Here is a 27,054-nt window from a genome sequence, read left to right on the forward strand (position 1 = left end):
TTCTTTTTATAATAATAGCTTTATTTCTGCAAGCAGTTACATTTCTGTGTTCACAAAAAGCGGGGAAAGAAGGACAAGATTTTATGACTCTTTTTCCAGGACACCTGGCAAAGCCAAATTTTCATCAAGGTCATTGCCCTCGGTAAGCTTAGAGAAAACACTTCAAATGTCTCAAGACTTGAAACATTTCAAAATGACAAGGAAATGTGGAAATATACTAGGCTACATGGGTCTGTGAGACCTGGAGAGTGCTAATTCCAAGAGCTCTTTTATTAAATAGCCCAAGCGTCCTATCCCACTTGCGGTCATCCTGTCCTCTGTGCGGAGGGGATTGAGCAGGATAATAACTCCCATTAGCACTGGGGGAGGTTTCACATGTAAATCCCCTAGCAAATGGAAGCACAAATAGAGAGCGTCCTGTTTAGTAAATCAGCACAACTTGAGTGTTAGTTTTTTTCCCCTAGAAAAGTGGTCGCTTGCTATCTTTGAAGTCGGTGAGGCAGGCAGAGCTCAGTCCGCGGTGTGTGCCGGCTTTTCCTTCTCAACAGGGTTGTCCAGCATCCTCAGCCTCCTCTCCAGCCTCTGCCTCCATTCTTCTCTGAGTCTGCGGAGGGGAAACCGTGCACATGCTCAGTGCATTTGTCTCCAGCTGTGCTGGTCGACTGAACCGTGGCTTTGTTTTTCTTCTCCAAGATATTTTTAAAAGAAACCCATTGTGTGTTCCCCTCCCTGTGTCCATGTGTTCTCATTGTTCAACTCCCACTTATGAGTGAGAACATGTGGTGTTTGGTTTTCTTTTCCTATGTTAAGGGGAGGGAGAGCATTAGGACAAATACCTAATGCATGCGGGGCTTAAAACCTAGATGACGGGTTGATAGGTGCAGCAAACCACCATGACACATGTATTCCTATACATTCTGCACATGTATCCTGGAACTTAAAGTAAAGTAATAATTTTAAAAACCCAATGCTGCTAGGCATGGCGGCTCACGCATGTAATCCCAGCACTTTGGGAGGCCGAGGCGGGCGGATCGCGCACGAGGTCAGGAGATCGAGACCATCCTGGCTAACACGGCGACACCCCGTCTCTACTAACAATACAAAAACACAATTAGCTGGGCGTGGTGGCGGTGCCTGCAGTTCCAGCTACTGGGGAGGCTGAGATGGGAGAATGGCGTGAACCTGGGAGGTGGAGCTTGCAGTGAGCTGAGATCGTGCCACTGCACTCCAGCCTGGGCGACAGAGCAAGACTCCGTCTCAAAAACAACAACAACAAACCAATGCTTTTTACAAATGAATAAAGAAAAAAATGAATAGTCACAAGGGCATAGTCTATGGATAGATGGCTTTATCCCAAATGTAATCCTTCCCAAATTGATAGGTGGATTCCATGTAATGCCAATCAAAATCCCAGCAAGAATTTTCTGTAGCTATCAAGAAGATGATTCCAACTTCTATATGGAAAGGCAAAAGTAGATTAGCCTTAAGAAGTTTGAAGAACACTGTTGAAGGACTCACACTACCTGATTTGAAGCTTAACATAAAGTTACCATCATCAAGGCAGTGAACAAACAAATAGATTATTAGCACAGAATATAATAGAAAGTCCAGAAATAAATACGCAGTAATGTGGCCAGTTGATTTTTCACAAGGGGTTAAGGCTACTCAATGGAGGATGGATAGGCTTTTTAACAAATGGTGCTGGAACATTATGTATCTATATTCAAACAATGGGCTTGGAATCTGCTACAGTCTGAACGTGTGTGTTTCCCCTCAAATTCATATATCTAATTCCTAACTTCCAAGGGGATGGTATTAAACTCTGCTCGATTATGGGCCCGGGAAAGAATGGGAAGATTCTGGAGTCCTGCTCTGAGGTCCTGGGTTTAGATAATATGCACATATTACAGGAAAATCAGAATAAACAGAAAAGAATTTTAAAAATTGATTCACTTTCATCTTTCATTCTTATAAATAACGCCACAACGAGTATAATACTTAATACTCTTTCTACATCCCAGTCTATTTTCCTCGGAGTGGCTCCCAGAGGTGAAATATTACCACTTAGAAGGTATAAATATTTTGAAGGCTGTAGGCACCTATTACCAGATTGGCTTCAGGAAAACTTCTTACTTACAACTCTGCTTAATTATGGGCCCAGGAAAGAATGGAAAGAATCTGGCACACGGGCCTGTTGCTGGGTGGTGCCTGTTGCATAAACACATGAGCAAGCAGGGCCTGAAAGTTGAAATACTGTTAGAGAATGAGGCACATGGGGCAGTACCGTCAAGACATTCATTCTGGGAGGCCAAGGCGGGCAGATCACCAGGTCAGAAGATCGAGACCATCCTGGCTAACATGGTGAAACCCCACCTCTACTAAAAACAAAAAAAAATAAATTAGCTGGGCATGGTGGCGGGCGCCTGTAATCCCAGCTACCCGGGAGGCTGAGGCAGGAGAATCGCTTGAACTTGGGAGGCGGAGGTTGCAGTGAGCCGAGATCGCACCACTGCACTCCAGCTTGGGCGACAGACGGAGACACCGTCTCAAAAATTAAAAAAAGTGATGATTTATTGAGCTTATATGACCTTCTACTTTGATATCCACAGATTAGTAATTTTCATAATTATATTTCTGTATCATGGTTATTAAGTATTTATCCCATATTTTAATTTGTAATCCACCTCTCCAACCTGGAGAATACCCAGGTTCACAAGCTTTTTTTGTTACACATCTCTGAAAGCCTCTGTAAATAAATCTGCCACCAAATACATGACTTTTGTCACCTAGGATCTTTTAAAGCTCACTAATAAGGGCTGCTGCCTGGGTGTTTCATTGAACTTGATGCACTTAACCTAATGTGGATTCATTCATTAACAAAAGGGACTGTAACTTTTACTGGGTGTGGTGGCCATGAAAATGCGCCACTCAGATGTAAGGAGCAAAGTTGACTGGTGGCTGCAGCTTCTTTCCCTTTGTATTTGCCTCAGATCAATGCCAAGGCCAAACTTCTTGCAGGCTGCTCTAAGACAGTGACTGGGCATGGCCGTGGTATTAATGCAGGCCCGTCCCAGCAAACTGCAGAACTTCTTTAACAGGTGGCTTTGGCTCACTGACTCCCCATTACTCTGGCCAAAACTTATCAGGGCTGCCCTGCTGTCTTCCCAATCCTAACTCCTTCTTTTTCTCCTTCATGGAGGTCAGACCCGCATCACAGTCTGATGACTTTCCTTCATTTCTCTGGCTTCGTGGTGTGCTGACGCTGGCTCATAACAGTTCATGACAACCAATTATTAACTTTTCAGGAATTTTATAAGCTAATTTTTAAATGTAGACATTATTAAAAGTAAATTATATAAACTTATAATTAAGTTATTTTAAAACAAGGACACTGACTATGCAAAATTCATTACTTCCTAATTATTTTACTACATTTTACAATGTATGCTCTTCAGATTACTTAGGTCTATTTCACCTGTTATGGTGAAAGTACTACATGATGAGGTGTTACTACCAAACACCTCTTCTGAACTTGTCTTCATTGACATCTCATTGGTAGCTTGAAATAGACTGTGGTGGGAATATTTACATCATGGAAGTTGGCAAACACTATAAATCATACATGACTTGATGTATCATTTTGTTCATTGTCTCAACTAAGGTTTGGCCCTAAGGCCAAATCTGGCCAGCTACCCATTTTGTAAATAAGGTTTTATTGAAATATAGCCCTGCCCACTTGTTTGTGTATTTTATTTACATATGGCTATGGCTGCTTTCACACTACAGTGGCACAGCTGAAGAGCTGCAATGCAGATCATATGACCTAAAAAGCCAAAAATATTTACTGACTGGTTCCTTTTATGACCCTTGGTCTCGACTTAAAAAAATGATGGACAAAATGTTAACATGGATTAAATTTAGAAGTGTGTCATGTCTGTAGCTAATACATTATAAATAGCAAAAAAAATTGAGGAAATATTCTTTCAGTACTAGAAAACTATTATCTTCAACGACATGACTTCTTTTCTGAATTGGATAGTAATCAAATGTTTACTTGTTCTATGATTTTTACAAATTATGGTTGAATTGCAACCACCAGTTGGCCCAGATACAAGAGGTTGGCAAAAATGAATAAAATCACATTTCATTATTATTCTCTGTGAGAATCAGGTGACTATATGGGATTTATAATGGGCATTGTGCATTTTCTTATTATTTATAAATTGTGTGCTACACAGCTTTCATATCAGTCAGACTTGTAAACATATGTATGTATATACACAATACATTTTTCCTCCAGAGAGCCAGGTAAACATTCATCAGCACACCAGTTTCCTTCCAATTTTTCATTCACAGGTGCTTCCTCCAAAAAATCTCATACACATCTACTCTCCTCTTGCCCTCTGCTTCTTAGAGGACCTGAGTTAACACATTTGGTATGATGCATTCATTCTAGGAAAAAAAATAGGAATCTGGGGTTCATAATATATTAATTCACTTTTCACAGCAGTTATACACTATTGCTAAATGGTAAGGAATTCAGGCCTCCATCTATCCAAATGTCTTTTAAATCTTGTTTTATGAATATTCAGACACTTTGCTGCTCCTTTTTGGTTGATATCTTTCATTACTGTGTTGCTTCTGTTTATTTTGGGGTTCTCAGTAAACCGGTGAATAAAAATTTATATGTAGGGCTTTCCTTTTGAAGTAGGGAAGGTCCATAGGAGGAAGATAATGCTTAAAACTTGACTTACAAATTCAGATACATCAGAAGAGCCATACAACTGGCATTAAAGCTCAGAGAGAACATTTTTACCTTCAGCCTAGAAATATTGGCCTCACTTTTCAAATTGAGACCAAGTAATGTTTACTATTTCTTGTTCTAGATTCTTCTGATTTGTGGAGGAGTTGTTAATTCCTAGGAGCACAGTTTCTCCTTGATAAGTCCGGGGCTTACCTAGAAAGCAGGATGATATTTGTGAGACTCTTAAGTCATAATCATAATGTTATTCCTGGAGTGGGTGAGGACAACTGGATCTATAATTATATTTTTCCTATCTTATGCTAGGCACTAAACATATGTGTCAGTTTGGGTCCTCCAAGAAGCAGATTTGTGGGAAACACCTGCGAAAAGTAAAGAAGGGAGGAAACTGAAGCAGTCAAGAATAGCCTTTAGACTTCAGCGCTGGTCTGACATCTGTGAAAAGAGAGGGGGGAAGTAACGATTGAGTAGGAAGAACCCAACCCACAGCACAGTTCTGAGGAAGCTTGAGCTGGGCTGGTGGGGAGTCCCTGAGCAAATGCTGCCCACAGGGGAGCCATGTCATGCAGGAATTGCCTGGAACTAGCACCCCTGCCACCCTCAGTAATTGGCTGGGAGCGGCCTGGGGGAAGTATGGCTTTGGCTCATACACGATGGTGGATCCAGAAAGGGAGCGGCCGGCACTATCAGTCAACTATGCTCCCAAAGCAAATGATCCTGAAGGTCCTCTGAGTGGGGCACTTCTGTGGCTACCACACTATGTAAAGAAGAGCAATCGAATACTCCCTGTCCTCAAGGAATTTAGAGTTGACTGAATTCTTGATCTCCCATTTCAGATCTCAGTACTCCAATCTTGATCTCTGTGCTTTTACTTTAGTATGAAAAGTCAGATGACAATTTTGCTACACCTACTCCATTCTCGTAGGCAGGAAGCATGCCTTGACAATTGTTTTTTCATAGTGGGAAGAGGCGGGCCTGAGTCTGGTTTCCCTGTGGCCTGCAGCTCACTGGCTGCATCTCTGGTCAAGGGGCAGAGCTCAGTGTGTTCACACAGGCTGACAAGCTTTGGCATACTCATTTGACCAACTCAGTTTACCAGCTGCATTTCCTATCCTTTCAGTTTGAATGAAAAATCTAACTAAAAATTTTCTCCCTGCTTATTCTTTGTAGACTAACTCTTGTCTTATAAAAAGTTTGAAATAGCGATTTCATCTGGCTAGTAGATTCTGAGTCCAATATCTTATTGCCTGAAGCTGAAAATATCCTAATTGATACAATTGATAGGCAGCCTTCAGAGCAAGAGAGAGGTGAGTGGTCTTGGGGTGAGGCTTGATGCACCCCCAGATTTAATGTCTACCTGACACTGTTGAGATCTGCTAAATTATGAAGCAGAATTTTGAAGACCACACTTCTTGCCCGAAAACATTAGTAGTTCATATAAGCACTGTCCAGTTTCTTAGTTATAGCTACTGGCTGGGCACTTAGGTGTCCATAAGACTTATTATCTAAACTGAGATACTTTTGAAAATAAAAGAGACTGTAGTCAATGATTATACCAAACTGATAGGTGTCCATCCAAACTGCCCCAGGCAAACCAGGAGGTATGGTCACACATCATGCCTATACGACACTCGACTCTTCTCGAATTGCCTCAATCAGTTGTTTGCAAACACTTTCTAACTTCTTTGGGGGACTAACCCATCCATGTTCTGTTGCTTTTCTCTATCCAGACTCAGAGAAATTAAAGAAGTACCCAGTTGTGGGGCCACCCACTTTGTCTTGTGATCTCACCCTGGGACCTCTGCCAGATACAGCATATCAGTTCCTAGGAAAAATGGATTGTCTCCATCCCCAGCCTCCTTCTCTGAGTCACTGAACCCACAGGTGTGTGCTTAACACACTTCACCCAGCTCTGGAACAACATCTTGCCAGATTAGCCCAGCAGAGGGAGAGGAACGTAAGACATTACTGGATTTGTTCTCCTGTCAACAAAGGGATTTGGTGGGAAATTTGGAGGTTTTTTGGTCTCTACTGCTCACTCATACATTTAGAACATTTCTTGATTGCATAGTGGATTGGATTTGCCTTTTATAAATGGAGGGTAGAATTTAAAAAGGTCTGTGTGTTACGTGTGTGTGTGTATGTGTACATTGGAAGGTGGGCATTTGCGTATAGTGGAGTTGGGGGAGGCAGAGCCCACAGGGGTGGAATAGGGACTCAGGGGTCTATGATATTCATTGGTCTGCAAGTACACGTTGGGAGATTATTACTTTGTTAGGACAATGTTTCAAACTATTTGCTCAGCTCAGCGGGGATTTAAGCAAAGGGGGGCTCTGACATTTTCGTTCTAATTTAAAAATTCTAGATTTTTTGTGAAACTTGGTTCATGTGAGTTGTGTATGTGTTTGCTTTGCTTTTTTGTTCAGCAAAAATAACAGTAAAACCACAAGGTTTTAATTCATTGTTTGCCAAATGAAAAAAGCTTTTGAGAATTTTAATTCACAATTGATAAGCGTGATGGCTCTGGTGGGTGGCCTCGAGGCTGAAGGAGAGACCACAGGGAGCCTCGCTTCCCCAGCTCCTGGTGGTATCCTGGTTCTGAGTCCTGTGGCTGCTGCAATCATGTCTTCAAACACTTCGTTGGGGGAGACTGATGAAATGTTTCATGATGAGCACAAAGATTTATTCTTTCAGTCATAGAAGTTAGAGGAAACTGCTCCAAACTTTAGAAGAGGGGGTCATTTCTAGGGAACATGGGAGCCTGGAGAATTAATGCATTTTGTTCTATGGACAATTTGCAATTGATTGCCATTTTTATAACTTATTTTTTACTTAAAAATGGCACAGGATCATTACAGAAACTTTGGAAAAAATAGGAGAACACACACACACACACAATCTGTCATCTTATTAGTCAAAAATAACCACTTTCAGTATCTTAGTGTATTTTCTTCTAATCTTTTTCCTTTACATACTATATATATAAAAGTTTTACTATCTTGACAAAAATAAGATCATATTGCAAGTTTTGCTTTCTGGAAGGGAAGATACAGCACAGGGCTCAAGATGGGATCTGGCTTCCAGTGGGCTAGTGGGCCAGGACTGGGGGACGGAAGATGGTGGGGACCACACAACGGACTCTCTTCACTTCCCTGAGAATCTACAGGATTGGATGCTCTAACATGAGACTCTTCTAGCATGTAGGAAGGCCTAGTTTTGTCCATTAGGCCACCAGGAGTGTGGCTGGAATGTTGGCAGAGCTCTTCTCTGCTTATGGAAGAAGGGTCCTCTCTGGCTTAAGAAAGGATTTTGTCTTAAAAATTAACTTTGAGTTTTACTCATGTGAATTACTCATGTTTTCAGCTCAGCATGCACCAGGCAGGCACAGAAACATGGAATCACAGTGCTCTGCTGTGGAGAACACATGACTACCATTCCACCTGTGAGCAGACGTCCCAGCAAACAGACAGCCTGGCTAGCCTCTCCCATTTTAGGGACAGAGAACCCGGACAGGCCCAGAAGAATTGAGCTGATCCTTCTGCTCCAAGGCATTTGACGTGTGAGGGTAGGTGCTGGCCCTGGCATTCAGACTGAGGTTGACACATATGACACGTCTTCCCACATAAGCAAAACTTCATCTCTCAGCAGACTCCTTGGAATAGAACAACAAGTTCACTTGCCAGTGAGGGAAAGACCACATTACCCTTCTCCCAAGAATCTTGGTACATATTATCCCAGATGAGGGATCTTTTTATTACACTAGTTTTTCGCACATATACACATCCGTCAACCTAACCCTGAAATTTAGTGTAACCACATGTGCTAAAGATTGTAACAGAGAAAGGGTAGCGAACAGATTGTTTTAGTTTATCAAGACATAAATAACGTAACTTCATTTTTTATATTAAAAAAAGTCTTGTCCATATCTGTAAGTCATTGGTTCTCAATCGGGGATGACTTTGCCCTCCAGGTGGCCTTGGTTCTCAAAATGTGTGTGGAGATCTTACAGATAGCTAATGTATTGAGGCCAAGGATGCTGATAAACATCTTAGCACAGAACAACCCTCCACAACAAAGAATTATTTGGCCCTGAATGTCAATAGCGCTGAGGTGGAAAAACCCTGGTATACTCTCAAGACTGAATGAGTGGATGTATTGGTGATATTTTCTATTTTCTGTGTTTTATGATGTTTTGACATCTTACAAAGTTTGCTGGCTAGGGAGAGACTGCCCCTGCTAGGACTAGCCCTATTTTAGAGATAGCAAAAGGCTTGGCCAATCTCCAGACCAACCGATCTCAAGTCTGTAGCCCTAGCCACCTCCTTGTCTAACTCTCATACACTGAGCCACTATTTCCCCTGCACTTGATTATCCTGGGGCCAGGAACCAGGCAACTGGAAACAACTCCTATAGCCCAAATCCTGACAGAATGACTCAAACTAACTGGTCCTGAATTATACACTCTGCACTGCCTTGCCTTTTTCATAGAAACCCCAATAAAGACTCTGGCTAAGAGGTTCCCGCTAGCTCTTCTCCCACCTGACCAAAACCAGGAGCTTCCCCTCTGGCCCTGTGGGACATGCATGTGTGACCCCCTCCTCTGGGACCTGTGAGCACAGTAAACTTCTTCCTTCCAAGTCTTGCTCCCATTTCCTCATGAGACCTCGCATTTCCTCCTGTCACTGCACAGAATTTATGCTTTCATGTACAGCATATGTACCTTCCTACAGCAGTGGGTACCAAAGAGAATTCCCTACCTGAGTCTTCATATCTGGCATATCTCTGGAAAATCCACTTTAAAAGTAATAACAGAGAAACAATTCACATACTTTTTCAGGGCGCTTCTTTCTTGACGATCTTCCTCCAGTTCTCGGTAAAAAGTCTGTTTGCTAATTTCTTTTTCCCAGAAGCTTTTGAGCTCATGACAAGTTCCACAGCAGAAGACTTCTCGACGGATGTATTGATTGTTCATCCCCTGAAATATACAAGTAAAGCAAATCCCACTTCTTTAAATAAAGCCACTCTAGGTTTGGAGTGATAGAAAGATGAGCTTGCATGTAGACACTGCCATTTACACTTGTTTTTTTTTTTTTTTTTGGTGACTGTAGACACATCACACACTTGTATTCTGAGTCTGTTTCCTCAACTGCAAATGGGAATAATAATAGCTATGCCAGAAAACATCATGAAAAATTTTGAATTAGACAAAACCAAAAAGAGTATCTGGTAACTCTTCCAAATTATCTGATTTTAAGGCTTGCCCTTTTCACTGTCTTTGAGCTATTTGACAATTTTGTAAATTATAGAAAAATTATAGAAATGAAAATGTTCATGAACAGAGAAATCCAAAGAAATTCTGTGCAGTGGAATGCAATTGCTCTACCTACGAATATCAATTTTTTCATTGATGTATTTTTAAAATTTTCTTTTGACTCAGTTGTAATATCTTACTAGTTTTTTCCTTATTTATAAGTTAAATAAAATATTTGATAATCTTCATTTTATATTTGAATGATTCATTATTTTAGCTTTCTTAAAAAACTATCCTTTAAGAGTTACTTCAGTTGTGTGTGTGTCTGCATGTGTAAGATGCACATCATCAACAAAAGTGCTAAGCCTCATGCATGACAAATGGCCAACACCCAGTAAACAGTGCGCTCTTTCCATCCTTCCTCACAGAATAGCAAGAGCCTCTGCTGTCTATCGAGGACCCGATGTGGGCCGGGCACGCTTTACACACTGTGCCATCTGATGCTCACTACAGCTCTGTCTCCACTCACTGTTCAGATGAGGAAACTAGAGAGAGAATCTGCTTGTGGCCATCACTGAAAATGCAGGAGCTGGCATTTGAACCTAGGTCTGTCCATCTTCAGAGCCAGTGCTTTTTGCTCTACAGATCTTCTTTGCTCACACGAAGTGCCCACTGCATTTGGAAATGGGTATGTCCGGGGCAAGCTCGTTCAGCATATGTATATACATCCTATGAAGGGACACATATGTAACCCAAAATTGTTTGCTTTTTACCTTAACGTGGCTCACTTTCCAGATCTTAGGAGCGCCATCAGGCAGGCAGATACAAATGCCTGCACAACAGATCCCTCCCTGCCTGCTGGCAGCTCCTGCTCAGAGAAGTGCTTCAGCCCTGGCTGGAGACTGGAAAGAGACCTGGTCCCTTACTTCACAGCTACAAAGTCCCTATGATCCCGTGCAAGCTGGGTTTTCCTGGGGCACCCAAAGGATTAGGGGCGAGAGAGGAGTTTAGAAACAGCTTCAGAGAAGAGGCTGGCCACGGTGGCTCCTACCTGTAATCCCAGCACTTCGGGAGGCCGAGGCGGGCGGATCACGAGGTCAGGAGATCAAGACCATCCTGCCTAACACAGTGAAACCCTGTCTCTACAAAAATACAAAAAAATTAGCCGGGTGTGGTGGCGGGCCCCTGTTGTCCCAGCTACTCGGGAGGCTGAGGCAGGAGAACGGCGTGAACCTGGGAGGCGGAGCTTGCAGTGAGCGGAGATCGCGCCACTGCACTCCAGCCTGGGCGACAGAGCAAGACTCCAACTCAAAAAAAAAAAAAAAAAAAAGCTTCAGAGAAGAAATAACATTTATTATTTTATATTTATGATATGGAATAATTTGTATTTTATTTGTATTACACTTATATGTATAATAGTAGAATATGATGCTCTCATCAGAGGGGCAGCAGGAGCTTCCCACCTGAAGGGAACAGCATGTGTAAGTGTCCTGAGGTAAGAAGAAGCTTGAAACTGAAAACAGCTTTGGGTATTCGATAAAGATTTTAAGAATCTGCTTCCGGTGTTCTTCCTCCTGGACCCATCTTCCAATCACCTGCTTATTTCTGTAGTCAGAGCTGCCCTAGACTACATGCTGCTGAGCATGTGGGTGGGTGGTGGCAGCGAGGCAGGTCAGGGTAGGGACGATTGAAGGAGATGCAGGGACAGAAGAGGGAGAGAACATTTTCCTCAGTGCCAGCTGCTCTGCGGGTGGTTCTCACTGGTCACACACAGCTACGTGAGGGCCATTGTTTTCTTATTTAAAACATTTTTATTTTTTATTAAACATTTAAAAATAATTTTTAAATATATTTTTAAATTGACAAATAAAAGCTGTATATAATTGTGTACAAGATGACGTTTTGAAATGTGTACACATTGTGGAATAGCTAAATCGAGCTAATTCACATCTCATTTTGCACATAAAGGAGCTGATTTTCAGAGGCATTGATAGACAGTGTTGAGGTTCCACAGCTTGAGAGCAGTGTGGCTGTCAGGACCTGGAGCCTGCACTCTTCCCACCGCTCCCGGACACTCCCTGGAAAGAGGAAGTTTGACTTAGGTGCCCTCTCCCACTTCAGGTGCTCAGTGACCTTACCCTTTCCTGTGACTGATGGACGCTGGGGTGTTTGTGACTTAGAGCGGTAGAGCTTCTTGAACAGAAGCTCAGTCGTATTTTGTTTTTAATACACTGAAGCATTTAATGGGTGTTCAGTTATTCAAGTTAAATGACCCCCTTCCAAGAGCCGGCCCCTTTGGAGTATCTCAGACATTGAGGGTCTGAGCGTGGATTGCTTTTCTGCTTTCTGGGTAAGGGAAACGCTCACATCCAGTCACCTTCTGCAGTCTGCCAGGCTGGAGCTGCGCCGTGGAGCCTCTGGAATTTCTCTCTGCACCCTGGGACTGTCCTCCAGCCTGACCCGAGCACACGCTCCTGTCTTTCAAGGGCATATTTCTCACTTATTTTCTTTCCCAGGATAATCATTCAGTGCACAGAATTCTAATAAATTTCTAGCCACTGGACATTGAAAGAGAAGCCACTAACAAAATACATCTGATTTTACATTTTCATTCATAGAACCAGGGTGTGGAATGCATGCCCTCCTCTAGCAATTAGGTTTCCTGTGGGTTTTGTTCAGGCTCCAGGAACATCTAAGGCATCTCATTTTCCTGATGTACAAGTTCAAGATAAGAAGACAGTGCTTGCTTTTAACTGCGAGGAAGGTGTTAAATGCAGAATTTGCAATGTAAGTATGCAGAAGGTAATGCCTTTTATATGCATAATATTTTCACAGATTTTTTTAAATTACAAAATACCCCTAAAGATTGCAAGTTCATATTGGGTACCCGGTATTTAGAAAAAGGATAGCTTGGTCAAACAGGTACTCATTGAAATGCTCTTCTTTTCTCAAAATTGATAATGAACATTTTATTCTAAAGAAATTCATTATGAAGACAAGAGAGGCCCGTGCAGGAACACAGCCTGCTCACATCCGCACGGCATTTTACATCCTCTCTGTTTGGGAGGAAGGTGTGGTTTGGATATGGAAGGAGGATTTACTCTAGCAGATACTGTAGCTGCACAGTCATGAACTGGGTTACAGAAAATAGCTGAAAGCAGGGTGTTGTCTACACACCCAAGGAGTAAATTAATTCAGGGTGAACCTGGGCCAGACGTGGTGGCTCACACCTGTAATCCCAGCACTTTGAGAGGCCAAGGCAGGCGGATCACGAGGTCAAGAGATGGTGACCATCCTGGCTTACACGATGAAACCCCGTCTCTACTAAAAAAAACAAAAAAAAAAAACAAAAAAAAAACCAAAAAATTAGCTGGGCGTGGTGGCACATGCCTGTAATCCCAGCTACTCAGGAGGCTGAGGCAGGAGAATCGCTTGAACCTGGGAGGTGGAGATTGCAGTGAGCTGAGGCAGCGCCACTGCACTCCAGTCTGAGCAACAGAGCAAGACTCGGTCTCAAAAAAAAAAAAAAAAAAATTAGGGTGAACCCAAAGGAAATCAGGCTATGAAGTATCTGATGCATGCCAGCTCTGCTTCTCATTCCTTTTTGATCAAAAAACACTTATAGGGTCTCTGTTTTCATAGAGTAGCTTGAGAGTAGTGGGCATGAACTTTGGAAGGACTTAGGAGGGGACATGAACTCAGACGTCTTCAGGGATCCATAAGCATCCCAAAGGACTGAAGCCACTGGGAGCAGTGGCACTAGGTCTTGAAGGGCACGTGCTCTGCTTCAAGACATGCATTCCAAAAGGGTCCAACACCACACTGGCCAAAGAAAACATGGCGTTTGGCTGGATGCAGTCAGAGGGCTACCTACCTGCCCCTCCTAGTGGATGCATTCTCTATCTGCAGGTAGAACCTATGTCTTTCTTCCTTAGCTTTTCTCGAAACCTCCTCCCTGTGCTCTCGCTGCAGGGCACCCTGAACTATTTTGCTTTCTCTATGCTTTCCTCCTTCCTACGCTGTCTCATGGGGCAGCCCCCTATCCTGCTTCTGCACCCAAGCATGCAGATACCACTCTGGCTGTTCAGGCTCGCTATTGCTGTCATTCCAGCAGGAACCGGGATTGGAGTTCTTCACCAAGCCACAGCCCACTCACTAGGGGTCATGTAGACACAGCTGTCCTGCCTGCGAAACACAGCTGCATCCCTACCTCCCCTGTCAGGCCAGGAGGCTGCATCCTGACAACCAGGATGGAGAGAAAGCTCAGTGGAGGACTTGCACTGTTGTGACTTTGAGCAAGAAAGCCCTTCACTTGCTCGGAGCCCCTTTGCTTAGCCATGAAGTGGAGATGAAGTGTGGTAACATACAGGAAAGTGCCCCCAACACAGCCCACCATTCATTCCCCAAATGCCCCTCCCCACATGCCACATGCTTGTTCAGGGGACTCACAATGCATCTCCTGATCCCTGGCAAGCATCAAAAGTGCTAACTGAATTTGAACCACCACCTAAATACAGTCTCCTTGTCTTTAGTTTATACGTGATATCAAATGCTTTGCTTCTTATTGACTCAGCTCATATTGAAGGCTTATTTATCTCTGTTGCTGGGCTGTAAGAATTAGAAAGCCTTAGATCATGGGGATAAGAGGCTTCCCGTCTTGTCCCAGACCCAGTGCTGGACCACGTCCAGTGAAGCCTTTAGCAAAGCTCTTGGTGATGAGTTTCACCCTTACATCACTTAGGATGTTATATTTGTGGGCTCTCTGTGGTCAGGCCCTATAATCACATTTACTGAGTGATGCTGAACATGTTTAAGGAGTGACTGTCTTACTAAAATTGACAGTTGCCACTGTGCTGACTCTTGGCCTCAACCCCTCCATGTTATTTCACAGCCTCACTGCTTGTTTTGCTGAAAACTGCTGGTGAATCTGAACTTCAGCAGGTGCAAGAACTTCTGTAAAAGAAAGTGCATTTTGTTTGAGATGAGCTGTGCCATCTTCTTCCTTCCACTTTTAAAAAACTTGTTTTATATTTATTGCTCCCATTTACCAGGCTCACTGTAGCTGGTATGGCCCTCTTTGAACAGAATTGATAGCAATTTTAGAAAAGCATTTTTAGGAAAACACCAAAATAAGGCAGGAAACAGGAAATGAAAGATGTTTACATTTCCCTGGCGGTATTGATGGAAAACCTAGGCACTAACAGTGGCTCTCTCTGCCTCTGCACCTGGCCCAGGCAGAGACAATCATTAGCTCTATGCCATATGCATATGGTGGTGCCCCCGTCGGGGCTCAAATGAGAGTGGAAAGGCGCTGCTTTCTCAAGTTGTTCTCTCTGTGTGGTCGGGAAGAAGGGAAAGCCGCTGTGATCTCCTGTGGGATGGACCAGTAGGGTTTTATTGTCACAGAAATAAGAAATACTAAGCAATGTGCAGACACATAAACCCATTAGGTACCTGAACCCTCCTAAGCCACTTCTAAAGATCTGTAAGATTAAGCTCCTATTTTTTACATGAGCAACTTTTCAAACTCAGGTGTCTCCATTCTATTGTTGTGCAATTGATTTTTGTTTATAAACTCAATTTCAGAGGTGCACACTCACGTGCCTTCTAAGTTTCCACTTGCTACTTTCATCCCATGTGTATGCAGATGGAAGAGAAGAGACTTTTCAGGGGAGCGTGTATGTGCTCTTGATGTCTTTTTGTTGTTGTTGAGACGGAGTCTTGCTTTGTCGCCAGGCTGGAGTGCAGTGGCTCGATCTCGGCTCACTGCAACCTCCGCCTCCCGGGTTCAAGCAATTCTCCTGCCTTAGCCTGCTGAGTAGCTGGAATTACAGGTGCACACCACCACACCCAGGTAATTTTTGTATTTTTAGTAGAGACAGGGTTTCACCACTTTGACCAGGATGGTCTCAGTCTCTTGACCTCGTGATCCGCCTGCCTCGGCCTCCCAAAGTGCTGGGATTACAGGTGTGAGCCCACAGCGCTCGGCCTTGATGTCTTTTAAATTCCCTCTAAACCTGAGATTCTCTCAGAATATAAGATCATTTATTTTTCTTAGAACCCAGATAACTGTGTTGTCTTCCATTCCCCAGGGGCTCAAAAAGCAGGAGCAGGAAATTTAAATAACTGTAGTGTCCAGAAGGCCACATACTTGAGTTATTCTGGTTATTTTTATAATAAACACTTAGGAATATTATCTGCTTCTGACTCCCACCTCTAAAAATCAGGTTTACTGCATTTATCTTTTTGTTTCCCCAGTTTTTATAAACTCATGGGTAGAGGGCAATAGTTCTCCTTTTTAAAGTATAGGCAGTGGGGGGAAATGCATTGGTTTTGGCCAATGAAACTCAGCCCTGCAACGACAGGGCGTGGAAGTGAGTTCAGAAATGGAGCAGGTCTGCCCCCACTAAGTGGTCAGACAAAACTGCCCACAGTATCTTTGCCTACTGGCTGGTGGGCTGCAGGTCTGTGGTCTCTGGCTTATTTTTATGCTCTTTATTGAGTGCTTATGGAATGCCTTTTATTCTTCAAAGTGCTCTACATCTCACCTTCAATTCCCACAACAAGCGTCTTCTTATCCTCATTTTACAGAGGACGTACAAAGAGGCAAGCCACTGCCCGAAGTCACCTTGTTGATGGTGATAGAGCTAAGATTTAAACCAAACCCAACTCCCAAGCCCGTGTCATCACCAGCAAACCACCCAGCCACGGGACAGAGAGATGGCGGCTCATGACAACAGCTGGATACCGAGAAAGCAGGCATCCAGTTAAATCTGTTGAGAGCAATGTGCAAGTCATCACTGCTTTCTCAAAGCAGAACTAGATTAACTTTCTCCCAAGATGATTCTCTGCGCATCACATCAAGACACACATCCCTTTTCCTCTCCGCACTTTCTGTCGAAGTGCTCGCTGTGGCCAGTTTCAAGTGGGTCATGGTAAGGATAAACAAACAAACAAAAACTAGACTCCCTCTGACACCAGCACCAAACGTGTTTGTTTAGCCCCCTCACATGGAGATTCTGCTTCCACAGGTGCAGGGGACTCACTGTCACTCCATTTCCACTCAGGTGGTCTTTTTCACCCAAGGTGAAAATACCTTTAGGTCCAAAGTTTCTAGGTCTGGGAGCTAAGATGGCTCCACCTGACTGTGGCCCGTATGCATTTGGACGGGTTTCTCCTCCCACCCCACCTTCAGGCCCCACTGGACAGAGGGCAGATTGAGCTTCCTCCCGTTCCTCTTTCACCTTCTCAGATGGAAGCTGGAGTGCAATGTGGGAGTGCTCTCCTTAGTTTCTTGGCTTAACACCTTTTCAGAAAACATTTTCTTTTTCTTTCTCTCTCCCTCTTTCTCTCTCCCTCCCTCCCTCTCTCTTTCTTCTTCTTTTTTTTTTTTTTTTTGACAGCATCTCCCTCTGTCACCCAGGCTGGAGTTCAGTGGCTCGATCTCTGCTCACTGTAACCTCCGCCTCCAGGGTTCAAGCAATTCTCCTGCCTCAGCCTCCTGAGTAGCTGGGATTATAGGCACGTGCCACCATATCCGGCTAATTTTTTTTGTTTTTAGTAGAGATGGGGTTTCAGCATGTTGGTCAGGCTGGTCTCGAACTCCTGACCTCGTGATCCGCCCGTCTCGGCCTCCCAAAGTGCTGGGATTACAGACATTTTCTTTTTAACTTCCCCTCCAAAATTCCATCAGGCTACTTGAATTTCAGTCTTGAGTCCCTCTGCACAATCTCCTTATAATTAACATCCTTCAAAGCCACCTCAGATTTTGCCGGCAGTATATTTGAGTCTTAGGAGGAGGCTCAGGGGAAATACAACATCGTCTGGGCAATATGACTGAGTTCTTGGGTAGCTTGGAGTTTTAACTAAAAAAGGACTTACATAGGAGAAAAAAGCTTATACTGGACGTGTCCACAATAACTCAGCCCTGTTATTCCCTCAGAGCTTACCTGAATTCACTGCAGTGACACCAAGTCATGAAAGAGGGACACACAATTATGAGAGAAGTCCCTGTGACTTTTAGTCCATATGACCATTATGAAGCTTTCTTTTATCACATGAAAAATGCATTGGTCTTAGAATTAAATGAGACATTGGAGCATGAAAAGTACTTAACATAGTATCTGCTCAATATTAAATGTGTCTCATCATCATTATCTATATTTCTATTAGCAACCTGCATTGCAGACAGTACCAAATGCCATCTCATTTAATCCTCAGCATATTATGCTAGATTTTACTATTCCTGTATTCGTGAGCGAGAAAGTGAATCTGAGAGGTTGACTTTCCCCAAGCTCCAGAGCTAATGATGGGGAGAGCCAGGAGTCCAGACCTGCTGATTTCACAGCACCCAGAATGTCTATTCATTGGGTGCTGACATCACAGAAGTGACAGTGAACAATGAATCACATTTGGCAATTGCTAATATGATCTTAAAATTATCTCACTTAATGATATTAAGAGCTCTGGGAAATAAATCTTATTATTTTCCCTGTAACCAGACAAGAAGCCAGGGGTAATAAGGTTTAAATTCTTGTCTAAGTCACAGAATCAGTCAGTGCTGATACTGGGCTGTGAACCCACAATGTCTGATGCCAAAAGTCCTGTCTTCACCCCCCACAGTTTGAGCCACTTCCCTCCTTCATTTAGGGAAAAGTTCGTGTGCCCTAGAAAAATAAAGACTAGTTAGCATCTGTCATCATAGACTAAAATTATTCTAAGATGCTCTGCAAGGGTCTCGCTTGGATCCATCCAGGTCCATTCTGCGTGCTCAATCCTGCCAGGTTGTGAGTGGGCTCAGGGAGCCTTGCTGACTAAATCAAATAGGAACCTCACCCAGTAGAGGAGTGATAGGTACCACTCCAGGGATCATGATGAGTAGGCTCATAAACATCAGTCTAGTTCAAGAATTAGATTTCGGCCGGGCGCAGTGGCTCACGCCTGTAATCCCAGCACTTTGGGAGGCTAAGGCAGACGGATCACGAGGTCAGGAGATCGAGACCATCCTGGCTAACACGGTGAAACCCCATCTCTACTAAAAATACAAAAGATTAGCTGGGCATGGTGGCGAGCGCCTGTAGTCCCAGCTATTCGGGAGGCTGAGGCAGGAGAATGGCGTGAACCTGGGAGGGAGAGCTTGCAGTGAGCCGAGATCACGCCACTGCACTCCAGCCTGGGCTACAGAGTGAGACTCCGTTTCAAACAAAAAAAAAAAAAAAAAAAAAAAAGAACTAGATTTCATCATCTGTTCAAGAACTAGATTTCAAAATGCTGTAAAGGTCAGTATTGAATCAATGGACAAAACTGGAACACGGACAATTACAGGATTGCATCAGTGTTATGGAGTTCCCAAAGTTGATGAGTGTGCTGTAATTATGTAAGAAGATGACTGTGTTCTTGGGAGGTAGCCACTGAAGCATTTAGAGGGGAAAGATTATGATGCGTCAACTTCTCTCATGTGATTTAGAAAAGATATAGATTGACAAGGCAAATGATAAGCAAGGTAAATGGTGATGATAGGTGCATCTGGCTGATGCTATAGAGGAATTCTTTGAATTATTTTTTCTGTAATTTTGAAATTACTGCCAAATGAATGTTAAAAAGTAAGCACTACTTTTATCTCCTTTCAAGAGAAAAATTGCTATTTACTTTGTTTCTCTTCCATTTATTGCCCTCCCCCTCACAACTTCTTATGCAGAGCCCCAATCTCTGTAAATAAACCCTGAACACATTTTGTAGTGTCACAAAGTAACAGAGGCTTAAAAAAATAGGTGAAGGGCATTGCAGAATTAGTCAACTGGAGAGTTCTCAATATCCAAAGAGGGAACAATATGCACAACAAAATAAACAACATGATGTTAGTTACAACCCAAAGAATGAATTCAAATTGATAGAAATTATTGAAATAAACAAATGGAGGAGAAAAAACAACTATTACTTTCAGAAGAATTCCAGTGAATAAGTGTAGAAAGAATGAGGAAAAGAGAAAATCACCATGAGAACACCACAGTAATAATTATTGCAGGCAGAATCCATTGATCAGTGGTAAAAATGAGTGGATGACATTTTAAGGAGGAACACAATGCTTGCATGACATCAAAGATATGTCTCTAAAAATTTAATAATTACTGTGGTGGTTTTAACATACGATCACAAATTGTCTGATACTCCCCTCTCTCTAGAAGGTGGAGTTAAGTCCCCCTCCCCTTCAGTCTGGGATGACTTGGTGACCGAGGGGAAAGTAGTCACTTTACAGTGGAGAAACAAATACCCCCTTAAATAAGTGTGGTTAAGGCTCTCAGCGCTACTAATAAGTATTGTGGATATCATGTGTCCCTTGATGTGACATGATGTGACACGCTGACTCTATGATGCACTTCTCCCAACACCAGAATGCTGTCTATTCATGAGAAAACTGAAGACTAGCTCAAATTCTGGAATATTTTACAAAATATGTGAACACTGTTCATTTAGAAGTGTCAAGGTCATGAAAGATAAAGACTGAGAAACGGTCACAGATTGGAGGAGAATAAGGAGATATGATTGATAGATATATACACCAATAAATGCAACGTGGCATCCTGGATTGAATCCTGGAACAGGAAAAACAGACAATAAGTAGTGGAAGACTGAATCTGATAAATTCTGCAGTAAATTTTATTGTACCAATGCTAATTTTATTGTTTTGATAAATGTACCATGGCTACGTAAGATGTTAATATTAGAGAAAGCTAGGTGACAGGTATATGGGAACACTCTGTACTATCTTTGTAACTTTCTCTAAATCTAGAATTATTTTGAAATAAAAAGTAAAAAGCACATGCATCTTCCTGACACCATCAGCAGACAGGAATTAAGGAGCATTGTTTGCCTGAGGAACATTTTCAGTGCACAAAGAGATATTCCGTCCTGGAGCCAGCAGCGTCCTGCTGTTTAGCCCTGTGTCATGTGTCCAGGACTAGGAGTTAGGAGACCCCCCCACACTCTTTACAGGGCAAGTTACTTGAACTAAGTTTCTGTTTTCTCATCTGTAAAATGGAACAACATGTACTTTCCCAATTAACCAGTTTTCAGTGGAAAAGGCTGCTGTGAAAAATGTTTTGCCTGACACAATAAGTGCTTAATAAAATCCTGGACTGCCTAATTTATATCCTTATGTAGATTACTGATAGGTCAGAGGCCACAAGCTCGGAAGCCTGTGGAGTCCTGGTGTGTTTAGAAGGCTCTGTGGCAAATTCTTGAATGCATGGCTTGTTTCAAACAGACACTGCCACTCAACTCCAAGCAACTATTGCCCATGGGGCATGGTCCCAGAGTTACCTGATATTCAAGTTTTTCAAAAGAAGCTGGAAATCTGATTTTTAAAACATTATGTAATTTCTTTATTTTTAAATGTTGATGATAATTTACAGACATTTCAAAGCTCTGTGCAGAGCATCAGAATATGTCTGTTGGCTGGACTTGGCCTTTGGGTCACTAGTTTTTGAGGTCCATATGGATTAATAGAGAAAACTTCTGAGTTCCCCATGGACCATGTAGCTAACTATGCCTTAGCTTCCTGGAGAAACATACACTGGGTGCACATAGAGTCGAAATAAAACAAAGTGAAAGCAATTAGAGAAAGCACCACCCCTCCCCGGTTACTGTTAACCACTGCAGTTTTATTGGTCACAACCAGGCTGTTCAATTTGATGTCTAGTCACTTAATTGTGACTAGAAGGGAACTGGGAGGTCCTTAAGCTCATTCTGCCATGCACAGAGATGCTCCTGGGTTTGCCTCTATGCCTGTTTGGATTGGGACCAGGAGCCGAGGCAGGTCTCTTTTCTCTTGGGCTTTGACCCCATAATCTTGTCCCTTCAACTAGACCCTTAACTACTGTGGGGCAAGGACCTTACTTAATATGGTGCCCTTGGCCCGGTGCGGTGGCTCAAGCCAGTAATCTCAGCACTTTGGGAGGCTGAAGCAGGTGGATCACCTGAGATCAGGAGTTCGAGACCAGCCTGGCCAACACAGTGAAATCCCATCTCTACTAAAAATACAAAAATTAGCCAGGCATGGTGCCCCATGCCTGTAATCCCAGCTACTCGGGAGGCTGAGGCAGGAGAATCGCTTGAACTGGGGAGGCGGAGCTTGCAGTGGGCTGAAATCGTGCCACAGCACTCTAGCTTGGGTGGCAGAGTGAGACTCCGCTCTTAAATAAAATAATTTTTTTAAAAAATGGTCCCCTTCACACAGTGTGCTCAGTGGACAAAGAACCTGTCATCCCCTCATGCCACTTGCCAGTCAAAATTCTCCAAAGAATTTAGAGCTAAAAGCAATTACTTCTCTAGAAAATGTTATATTCTGCTCCTATTAAAAGCTTTTAAAAAGGCAAGGTGGCTAAAATACAAAAATTGGCTAACATATTGTTTCTCCCCTCTGCTTCACCAAACTGCCAGTCCAGTGGCTATTTGGCCTTCACTAATGAATGTTACTTTTTTCCTGAACCGGAAACGGGCTATGTATATTTCTTAAGAGTGCGCTCTAGCCAGGAACTGACTTCCCAAAATAGCTGCGTTTTCAGAAACATTGTTTACTTTTAGAAATGGACTACCTGGAACGAAGGCTCATGAGTGATCTCTGTCATCCTGTTGAGTGAGAATAGAATTGTGGGGTGGATGTCCCACATTCCTGCCCCACACTGTGTGCTTTCCATCAATCAAGTGTAACTCCTCAGAAATTTGAGGCACCCCAGAGAGGCAGCCAGGTCTAAATGGAACAGCCCCCGGAGGACGCAGTTAGGCATCTGGAAGAACGGCACACTCGGCACCCTCGGGAAGGTGTGGAGGGAAGCGCCCAGGGAAGCAAAGAGCAGGGGGCTCCTAGGGGCTTCGGCTTCCCTCTCTTAGGCTGCTTCTCCCTTTGTTTCCCTTTTCTTGGGATGGTCTACATATTTGGGATGCTCATGGAAATTACTGCATGCCATCATTTATTCAAAGAAAATCCCCAGCATAATTTGGTCAAAGAGTTAACAAAGTTTTGGCCGGGCGCAGTGGCTCACGCCTGTAATCCCGGCATTTTGGGAGGCCAAGGCGGGCGGATCACGAGGTCAGGAGATCGAGACCATCCTGGCCAACAGGGTGAAACCCCGTCTCTACTAAAAAATACTCTTGAGTATAGCGAGAGACTCTGAGTGTAGTAGTGGTCTCACCCTAAAAAGGTGTTTGTTTGTTTGTTTTTTGAGAAGGAGTCTCGCTCTGTTGCCCAGGCTGGAGTGCAGTGGCGCAATCTTGGCTTACTGCAAGCTCCGCCTCCCGGGTTCACGCCATTCTCCTGCCTCAGCCTCCTGAGTAGCTGGGACTACAGGCGCCCGCCGCCACACCCGGCTAATTTTTTTGTATTTTTTAGTAGAGACGGGGTTTCACCGTGTTAGCCAGGATGGTCTCAATATCCTGACCTCGTGATCCGCCCGCCTCGGCCTCCCAAAGTTCTGGGATTACAAGCGTGAGCCACTGCTCCCGGCCAAGAGTTACAAAGTTTTACACTGTTAGCAAAGATGCTCCTTTAAGACTCTGTTTTTAAAAATGTGAACGTCGTTTTGTGCACATGGTAAAATATTTCAAAAAGCACTGAAGGATATGAAATAAAGAAGTGTTTCCCATTTTACTTTACTGCAGTCAGCAACACTTCCCAAAGACACCCACTGTTAATGATGTCATATTTGTATTTCCATCTTATTGGAAGCATATATATGCGTACGTATGTGTACAAAATATTGTTTTTGCAAGCAGGGCCATACAATAAACACTGTTTTGCATTTTGCCTTTTTCAACTAAGAAAATATTTGCTTGTCAGCATACATTGTTTTTCATGGTTGTGTAGTAATCTGTTTATGGATATGCCATAATTAACCATTCTAGCATGGATGGACATTTGAATTAATTCCTGCTTGGGTCTATTACAAAAAATTCCAGAGTAAATCATGTTTTGTTCACATCTGTAAGTACATCTGTAGCATAAACTCCTAGAAGTATAATTGCAGGTCAAAGTCCAGGTACCCTGAAATGTTTACAGCATAATTCCATATTGCCTTCTGCTGTCACGGAAGTGTTGGAATGTTTGTGGACTTAGCAGAACTTCTTCTGTAGAGGTCCTTTCAGTCTCAATGACATAACAGTATGGGCTGTCAATGTATTCACCTCTTAATGAAAAGACAAGCACAGGTTTAGGTCTTGGACTCAGGAGAACATATCTGAATGGACCACCTTAAGACAGACCCTGGAAAACAATTGGCTTTTCTAACTCAAAAAAATACCGTGCTGAATTAATGAATTGATGAGTCATGGCAGGGCCCATAGAGAAGTAACCAATACATTTCTCAGTTCAATTTTGCATCAAAAATAAAAAATAATTATAATTTAAATAAACATAAACATTAATCAGTTTCATTGCATTCTTATGCTAATAGGACATATACATAGTTTGAGATAAGTAAAAAAAAAAAATGTTCAAAGTCCTAACTGTAGATAGTTATTTTAAATGGTCAATTAAAATTTGTTTCTCCTATTTGCTTTGAATGCTATATTTGGCTTAGAGTTACCATATTAATACTAACATACAGTTATTTCTAAAATACATTTTGATGTTTTTTATTTTATGAATTTCATTCACTTTTTTGAATAGTTATTTTTTTTAAAAGAGTTTGGAAAAGATACGTAAGTCTTCTCATCTGTGAGTTGAGGTGTTTGATCTACAGGTTCATTGAGGTCCATCTGGCTCTAATAGTCAGGAAAAAATCATCAGCCTCAAGTTCAAGGGAATAATCTGTATCTTCAAAATTACAGGGGCTTTGTGTTTCAGTTTTTTCACCTTCAAATGAGGGTATCTAGTTGCTTTGCACATATGTGAAGGGCAAATATCAATAATTAGGCTTTAGCAAAAGGAGACTGTTCTTCGATAAATAAGCAATTCTGTTTCTCTGCATCCCCCCCCACCCCCAGCAAAAGTAGTTTTTTCTACAGTGTACATCTCTTGAGAGGATTAGTTCTATTTTCAGTAAAATGTTACCAATTTGGAAAAGTCATAATTCCAACAGCAGTTCTTAAGTTTACTTTTCTAATTAACTTACACTTAAAGAGTGCTAGAACTCACTTTTATAATAAAAATTAAATATCAATTTAATCAAATAACATTTATTGAAGCTTGACTTTGTGTGAGGCTCATGCACTTGAGTCTATCTGATGAGGGGCTAGGGAAGAGTCAACTGTATCAACTCAGACGAAAGGGAATTCTACAGTTGAATTTCCCAGGTCTCAGGTTAGTCAAGTAAAAACCCCAAATTCATGATTAATCACCCCACCATCAGCTTCCTGAGAAGCTTCCATGATCCAGCATCTACAATGAACATTTCCTTGGGACTAAATTATCCATCAACCAACATGAGACATATCTTTATTTTGGTTAATCTCCAAAAAGCCTTGCTCTGTGAGATTTACCCGAATTTCTTGCTTTTTCCACACTCTTTAACATGAAATTTCTGCATCATTGACATTTAGGAAAAGATGGAAAAACATCAGAGATGGAAAAAAATCTACTGGCCCATCTGTTATTCCCAACTGGTACAGCGTAGGTGTTCAAGGTGAAGAGAAAATGAATTCAAGTGGTCAATAAAGGACACACATATAAGGGGTGATGTCTGTTTCAATTTTCAGCCCAAGTTGCAAGATGTTCCCACACTTGACAACACAAGCTCAATGTACTGTACCTTAAAGATGAATTTGCAGGTGATACCCGGCTAGGGTGCAAAGGAGGGCAAGACTCCCGGGCCTGCTCTTGATTCCTCAGGTCCGGCTCAGGAAGGCCACAGATGCTGTCCTGAAATCACATTGTTGCAGCCCCTATATAAGGAGTGGAGGAGTTACAGAAATCCCTTAACCTTTCAAGGTCATTTGAGCCAAATTAGTACCAGAACCAGACAATATCTTTCCAGGGACATTGTAGCCTTCCCTCGTGGTGAGAGATGGCTCTAAACAAATCCCATCTCGTACTACCCCACCCTCCCCAGAGAAGGCGAGCTTCTGTTTTGGCAGGTCCCACAAGTACTATGACTTGGCCTGAACCAAGAGAGATGATTTAGAGCAGAGGCTGGATTATCCATGTGCCCTATTCCCCTGTGACTTGTGAAAAGCCAGTCTCTGCACCTTGGTGTGTAAAGGGGACTGGAATGGTGGGACGAGTTACACTTGGGTGTAACATTACAGGAAGACTTAGAGAGGCATCTGGTTCTTTGGAGCCATTAATCCTTGAATGGAATCTGGTGATGACATATCATGGTCTGCTGAGTTCTCTACCAGTTGGAGCAGGAATTGACCCCGGTGAGTGTTTTCCAATAAAATGCATCCAAGTGAGATCGACTTCTCATTTTAGAGTGGCTCTTATCCCATGATGGAGGAGCACATTTTGTCCTTAGGAAAAACATTTAGAATCCTCACTCATCTGATAACAAAAATAGCTTTGGTTTTTATCAAATCCTTTAACTATGCTACTAATTGCACACCCGTTACTTGGTTCAGTGGAGTATAAATTTATAACTTACATTATACATGTCAAGCTCATCTAATATTGATGTTCAGATGTTATCCTGCTGAAGTGATATTTAATGTTGAGTCTGTGAAAGTGTTTTAATAAGCCCCTTTACATTAAGCTGGATGCCTTATTTAATAGCAGAACCAAATTTTAGAGATGAAATTTTTTTTTTTGGTAAGGAAAGAGAGGAGTTAATTCTGAAACCGTCATGCAGGGTCCCACCTATATAAAATCAACAATTTAAAGAGAAAAAACTCAACAAAAATGTTTCTAAGGAGTATACTGAAATCACAGAAGTGAAGTTATATACATATTTGTATATTTCCACTTAAGAAAATATAGAGAAACTTGAATAATTAGCAGCTAACAGATCACTAGGTGTTAGTTTCCCTTCCTTCGTCCCTCCCTTCCTCCCTCCCTTCCTCCCTCTTTCCTCCTTTTCTTTCTCTCCTGTGAAAGTTATTTTGGCTACATGTG

General features: G+C 42.5%; 1 protein-coding gene across 2 annotated transcripts; it reads right to left on the reverse strand.

The window, feature by feature from the left end:
* FAM240B (family with sequence similarity 240 member B) lies at window positions 1–25,868 on the reverse strand. 2 transcript variants are annotated; one of them, NM_001394922.1, is made up of 3 exons: window positions 25,757–25,868; window positions 9,592–9,737; window positions 1–604 (listed from the first exon to the last, which is right to left on the reverse strand). In NM_001394922.1, the coding sequence occupies exons 2-3, from the start codon at window positions 9,732–9,734 to the stop codon at window positions 511–513; spliced, it is 237 nt and encodes a 78-aa protein (NP_001381851.1). In that variant the 5' UTR covers window positions 9,735–9,737; window positions 25,757–25,868; the 3' UTR covers window positions 1–510. The 2 variants fall into 2 exon arrangements, with proteins under 2 accessions (NP_001381851.1, NP_001373740.1); NM_001386811.1 differs by lacking the exon at window positions 25,757–25,868 and adding an exon at window positions 11,065–11,216.
* Window positions 25,869–27,054: the final 1,186 nt, after the last annotated feature.

The sequence above is a fragment of the Homo sapiens genome, chromosome 9, assembly GCF_000001405.40.
Source record: "Homo sapiens chromosome 9, GRCh38.p14 Primary Assembly".
Lineage (NCBI taxonomy): Eukaryota > Metazoa > Chordata > Mammalia > Primates > Hominidae > Homo > Homo sapiens.